The sequence below is a fragment of the Homo sapiens genome, chromosome 13 (assembly GCF_000001405.40).
Source record: "Homo sapiens chromosome 13, GRCh38.p14 Primary Assembly".
In the NCBI taxonomy this organism is placed as follows: Eukaryota; Metazoa; Chordata; class Mammalia; order Primates; family Hominidae; genus Homo; species Homo sapiens.
The window spans coordinates 52,194,632-52,201,343 of NC_000013.11; the positions used below are offsets into that span (position 1 = coordinate 52,194,632).

At 46.1% G+C, this 6,712-nt stretch overlaps 2 annotated features.

Moving 5' to 3' along the window:
• Nucleotides 36–85: an enhancer, noted in NCBI's record as "active region_7788". NCBI's record gives its function as "activates an Ori minimal core promoter by ATAC-STARR-seq in GM12878 lymphoblastoid cells {active_cell/tissue: GM12878}" and the evidence as "EXISTENCE:reporter gene assay evidence [ECO:0000049][PMID:35858748]".
• Nucleotides 126–175: an enhancer, noted in NCBI's record as "active region_7789". NCBI's record gives its function as "activates an Ori minimal core promoter by ATAC-STARR-seq in GM12878 lymphoblastoid cells {active_cell/tissue: GM12878}" and the evidence as "EXISTENCE:reporter gene assay evidence [ECO:0000049][PMID:35858748]".

A 6,712-nucleotide genomic window follows, 5' to 3' on the forward strand; every position in this document is an offset into this window, starting at 1 on the left:
TGGCCTAGGAGGATCCTAAACCGCCGAGACCGCCGAACGAGATAGTGGAGGGCGTGATCAGTTGTGCAAAAACTACAGACGCAGTCCGTTTTTAAGTTGTTTTTTTCTGAGACGGAGTCTCCCTCTGTCGCCCAGGCTGGAGCGCAGTGGTGCGATCTCAGCTCACTGCAACCTCCGCCTCCCGGGTTCAAGCAATTCTCCTGCCTCAGCCTCCTGAGTAGCTAGGATTACTGGCGTGCGCCACCACGCGCGGCTAATTTTTTTTTTTTAATTTTTTTGTACTTTTAGTAGAGACGGGGTTTCACCATGTTGGCCAGGCTGGTCTCGAACTTCTGACTTCGTGATCTGCCTGCCTAAGCCTCCCAAAGTGCTGGGATTACAGGAGTGAGCCACCGCGTCCAGCCGATCAGTCTGTTCTTTAACAGACACTTACTGTGCGTTGTTTGGAGGGAAAGGGTCTATAGCGTTCATCACGTTCTCAAACCAAAGAGGTTTAAAAAAATTACCATAGGACCTGCTGCCCGATGAAATAGCGTTTCTTTTCAGTCTTTATTCTTGATGTAGAGTCAAAATAACACTTAAGTTTCATTTTTCACAAGTGATTTTAGGCCGGGCGCGGTGGCTCACGCCTGTAATTTCAGCACTTTGGAAGGCCGAGGCGAGTGGATCACCTGAGGTCAAGAGTTCCAGACCAGCTTGGTCAACACGGTGAAACCCCGTCTCTACTAAAAATGCAAAAATTAGCCGGGCGTGGTGGCGCACGCCTGTAAATCCAGCTACTCAGATTCCCCGCGGGCGCGCGGGAGGCCGCCAGCCCAGGCCGGGGGAGTTCGGCCAGAGCCAGGTGCAGGGAACCGGCTCTGCGGGAGCGTGGGTAAAAGCTGACGCGCTCTCGCGAGTTCCCACTTAGGGAACTTAAAGGAGAGTTTTAATTTGTCCTCCCTGCCGTTCGGGGGCGCGTGTGCCTGTGCTGCCCGACTAGCCCAGGATGTAGTGAGCCCCGCGGCTGCCGCTGCCCGCTTAGACCCAATCAGAGGGTGAGTGGGAGGTGACACCGGTCAGCCTTTCCCGCCCCTCTGTCTCCTGCTGCCGTCGGGAAGGCAGAAGCCGCGAGGCAGGCCAGTGGTACATGGTGCTCCCGGCTTAACTGCACCCTGCATGGCTCCAAGGGCTGGCCAGGCTTTCGTGTCGCAGGTTCCCGCTAAGTGCAGGATTCAGATCTTACCATGGTTCTTTTTAATAGTGAGGAGTTGTGGCCGCGCGCGGTGGCTCACGCCTGTAATCCCAGCACTCTGAGAGGCCGAGGCGGGCGGATCACGAAGTCAGGAGATTGAGACCGTCCTGGCTAACACAGTGAAACCCCGTCTCTACTAAAAATACAAAAAATTAGCCGGGCGTGGTGGCGGGCGCTTGTAGTCCCAGCTACTAGGGAGGCTGAGGCAGGAGAATGGCGTGAACTCGGGAGGCGGGGCTGGCAGTGAGCCGAGATCGCGCCACTGCACTCCAGCCTGGGCGACAGAGGAAGACTCCGTCTCAAAAAAAAAAAAAAAAAATAGTGAGGAGTTGCCTCTGTGCTATGTGGAGATTAGGAGGGTGTTGTATTACTCTTGATAATGGAGCTTGTGCTTTCGACCTGTGAGGACTCAAAAGTTACGTTTTAATTTGATCATGAACATACACAAAGCAAAGTCTTATGGATATTAAAGGATTATTTATATATTCTAATTTTCATCATAGTTTAAAAATAGTCATAAAGAGGGCCGGGCGCGGTGGCTGACGCCTGTAATCCCAGCACTTTGGGAGGCCGAGGTGGGCGGATCACGAGGTCAGGAGATTGAGACCATCCTGGCTAACACGGTGAAATCCTGTCTCTACTAAAAATACAAAAAAATTAGCCGGGCGTGGTGACGGGCGCCTGTAGTCCCAGCTACTCAGGAGGCTGAGGCAGGAGAATGGAGTGAACCCGGGAGGCGGAGCTTGCAGTGAGCTGAGATTGCACCACTGCACTCCAGCCTGGGCAACAGAGCGAGACTCTGTCTCAAAAACAAAAAAAAAAAAAAAAAAGAAAAGAAATAAAAAGCAGGAGCATAAAGCAGTCACACTAAGCCTCCACTGCTCAGGTGTTGAGTAGACACAGCAGAGCACTGCTGTGCTGCAGGATGGGCGCAACCAGGCAGCCAGGCTCCGCCCCTTTCTGTGGCACTCCGGACAAGTTTTCGCACCCTCTCTGGGTCTCAGTTGCCTTATCTGTGGAAAAGGGAATCATGTTAGCACCTACCTTGCAGGCATACTCTGAGGATTAAATGGGTTAAATATGGAATAGTGTTTACAGCCGAGTGTAGCACACAGTAAATACTATAGAAGTGTTTGTAGCTGTTACAGTCAAAATGGAAATGTGGAATGGAATTTGAAAGTCTATTTAAAATCAGGGAACCTATGCAAAAAAAAAAAAAAACAATTTTGGATGAGGTTGCTAAATTATCTAGAAGGTTAGTAAACACTGTTATTTATTTATTTATTTATTTATTTATTTATTTATTTATTTGAGACGGAGTCTTGCTCTGTCAGCCTCCCGAGTAGCTGGGATTACAGGCGCCCGCAACCGCGTCCGGCTAATTTTTGTATTTTCAGTAGAGATGGGGTTTCACCATCTTGGCCAGGGTGGTCTCGAACTCCTAACCTCGTGATCCACCCGCCTTGATCTCCCAAAGTGCCGGGATTATAGGCGTGAGCCACCGTGCTCGGCGAACAACACCGTTCTTTATAAGGATAGCTTCTGATTTCTAATGTAGCCACTTCTAGAGAACATCAAAACCATTTTTTTTTTCAGCAGTGACTACTTCTGGACGTGAGTGAATTTTCATTAGTCAACCTTATCAAAGAGTCCAGGAGAATATATTGTTGTTGTTTATAGAGTGTTAATATATTGCTACATTCAGAAGCTCAGGAAAATGAAAGAATGTTAAGAAATCAGAATATTAAGGCTGGGCGCTGTGGCTGAGGCCTATAATCTCAGCATTTTGGGAGGCCGAGGTGGGCAGATCACCTGAGGTCGGGAGTTCCCAACCAGCCTGACCAACATGGAGAAACCCCGTCTCTACTAAAAATACAAAATTAGCTGGGCGTGGTGGCACATGCCCGTAATCCCAGCTACTCCAGAGGCTGAGGCAGGAGAAGCACTTGAACCCAGGAGGCAGAGGTTGCGGTGAGCCAAGATCGCGTCATTGCACTCCAGCCTGGGCAACAAGAGCGAAACTCTGTCTCAATAAAAAAGAAAAAGAAATCAGAATATTGTTTCCAGCTATTAATAATTCACGGTGCTGCAGACCTCTTGAATCATCATTAAGTCAGAAATCTAAGTGAAAATAGTGTTGCTCTTGCATTCAGTTGTATTATAAAGCACTTAGCACTGGATATTATGAAGTGTTTTTCTGTGTTCCAAAGTATAGCATATCTTTGGAGGAGTCCAGCATGAGAGCTTAGGATCAGTCCTATCCTGAGACACAGATAGGCATTCTTTGTTTTCTGCAGTGGGATGAGCAGATAGGAAGGACCAGCACCAAGAATCTGATTTGCTCTGGGGGTTGCATGGATGCAGAAGAACCACAGAGAAGGGGTTGGTCCAGCTGCCCAAAAGAAATCTTTGAAGCCCATGCTGACCAGTATCTAGAGTCCAGGACAACAGTTCTATTTACTGCCATACAACACAATAATGCTCACCCAACTTTTATAATCACCACCCTGATTCCAAAACATTCTATGAATAAATGATCATTTGAAAGTTGATAGCCAATGATTAGAAGTGGGAGTCAATGACTAGTGAAAAGCCGAAAAACTATGTTATGCATGGTATTCATAATAGCGTAGAAATACTAAAAATAGATAACTCTTACAAAGTTACAAAAATCACAGCAAAGATATTAAAATAGCACGTTACCTTAATGGTACAAGCAATTTCAATTCACCTTAATGAACTTCTCATGATATTTAATGTACCCCAGATTCATTTCTAACATTATTTAATTACTACATGAATTCTAAGAAACACTTAGATCTAGTAAATAATACATCTTGGAAAGATCTAAGTGAATAAATAATACATCTACAAAGATTCAGAAAAATTTAGAATATTCTGTCCATCTGCATGAAGTAATCAGTAGTTCATGCTAGTGGATCACACACAAAAAGGTAAACCATGAAGCCACTTCTCCCAAGTGACAGGATGGCAGAACACGAATGTCATGGCCCAGGTGAGGCTTACAGGCTCTGTCGCTACTTTGCTTGTGCAGCAAAATGTATCCTATTCTGCTGTTTGTTTTATGCCATTTTCCATCATACCTACTTTGTCTATGTATTTCACAGGCAATCAAATGTAATTTATTTTATTAATTGCTTTTTAGTCACGAGAATTGCCCATATACGTGACTTCATTTCCCAATAAATATGTCTGTAAATTTGTGTCTTTTATGTTCAAAGTAATCCTTTCCCCTAAAATCAACTCTGAATTAACTTTCAATGCCTCTGTGTAAAAAAAGTACATAAGACTGTTTCCAACAAAATCGGGGTGCAGCATAAATACCTGCAATGTGGAAATGAGATAATAACACCACTGACTGCCCACTGCACACTAAACAATTTACATCCTCATCTCATTTAATTTCCTCAATGACATCAGGATTATCCAACAAGCGCAGTCATGTGTCTCAGCAGGTGTATGAAAACCTGTAACAAGGAGTCCAGGAATGGTCAATATCTGGAAATCCAACTAGCCAGGCCAGCAATGGCCTCAGTTTTCTGAGGTTTGCTCTTTGTGAAATAAGCCTGCAGAATAAACCCAGTTGTCCAGCAGTTTCAGCTACCTACTTCAATTGACTTGTGTCTCTACTAGCAAAAGTATTAATGGATTATGGACATCTTTCCAAAGGCAATGTACTAGCTAAAGGCACAGAAAGAAGGAGAGAATGAGGCTGGATGGACTTACTGGGGGCATAACTCATCGTGAGGTTTCCTGATCTGGGTGAGGGATGATGTGTGTGGTACATACTGGATGTGGTATTTCCTTTTTTTCTTAGGTGGATTAAGAGCTGTTTTGTCGGGCCGGACGCGACAAAACAGGGATCACGCCTGTAATCCCAGCACTTTGGGAGGCCGAGGCGGGCGGATCACAAGGTCAGAAGATCGAAACCATCCTGGCTAACATGGTGAAACCCTGTCTCTACTAAAAATACAAAAAATTAGCCGGGCGTGGTGGCAGGTGCCTGTAGTCCCAGCTACTAGGGAGGCTCAGGCAGGAGAATGGCGTGAACCCAGGAGGCACAGCTTGCAGTGAACCAAGATCACACCACTGCGCTCCAGCCTGGGCGACAGAGCGAGACTCCGTCTCAAAAAAAAAAAAAAAAGAGCTGTTTTGTCTCTGCATCTTTCAAGTTGGGAAATTTTTATCTTTCTTTCTGGATCTGTCTGTCTGTCTATCTATCTATCTATCTGGATAGATAGATCTCCAGCTGGTCTATCTTATAAACCAGATCAAACTACAGTATCAAACACAGCCTAAAACAGCACTTTAGGAGGCCAAGGTGGTGATTACTGAAGCCCAAAAGCTTGAGACCAGCCAGGGCAACTTGGTGAAACCTCACCTCCACAAAAAATACAAATAAATAAATAAATTAGGTGGGCATGGCGATGTGTGCTTGCAGTCCCACCTACTCTGGAGGCTGAGGTGGGAGGATTGCTTAAGCCCAGGAGGCAGAGGCTGCAGTGCCACTGCACTTCAGCCTGGGTGACAGAGCAAGAGCCTGTCTCAAAAAAAAGAACGGCAGCAAAAGATGAACATAAGTGCATGTTTATATAATATATAGGTAGATGATATTAGTGTAACTGTATAACACTATGTGAAAAATGAAGCTTTAGTCCCCTTGGAATACACAGGTGAGTATGACTTGTTCCCTGCTTCAAGGGGCTGGTGATCTAGCAGAGATCACAGATGTGGAGCAGGTAAACTAACAAGATAGGCAATGCAACAGGTGCCAGGCCTGTGGAGGCCCAGAGAGGTTGCACCCAGATGGATGAGTTTCCTAGATTTCATTAGCTTCTTCACAAGCGCTTTAGTGCCCAAAGCCAAAGGACAAAGTAAGAGGGAGGGGCACGGAAAGCCCCTCAGCAGCAGGAGGACTTATGGGAGATGGGACGGAAGATGAAGTGGTTTCGTGCCCTTCAAATTAGATTGTCTAGGTACTTGTCTTTCCCCTCCACGTAAGACGACTCGTTCTTAGTATATTCATGTGTAAAACTGCCTTGGATTTTAGGTGCATGGAAGACCAGGATCATGTCACACTAGTGTGTATTGCACAGCATATGACATAGAACTATGTTGAAACAGTGCTTAGCACATGACTTTTGGAGACGATAGAGATATGACCAGGCAGAACTGTCCTCAGGTCAATTTCTAAAGTGCATGAGAGTACTCTGGTTCCCCCAGCCCATCCTCTTGCCTTCTTGTACTCATTCCCCCCGTCCCTTGGCCCCTCTCTATGTTGCCTTTTAGCTTCTCAGAGCCTCCTTGCTTTGGGTCTCACCCAGGCCTGACACCCTTGCCGAGACCTCTCTAAATTAGCCTTTCGTCCCCTCTCCTACCTGTCAAACTGCTCTCTCATCTATCCACCAAGGGGAGGGCTATGTTGTTAAACTAACACTAATGTATGAAAGACCACAT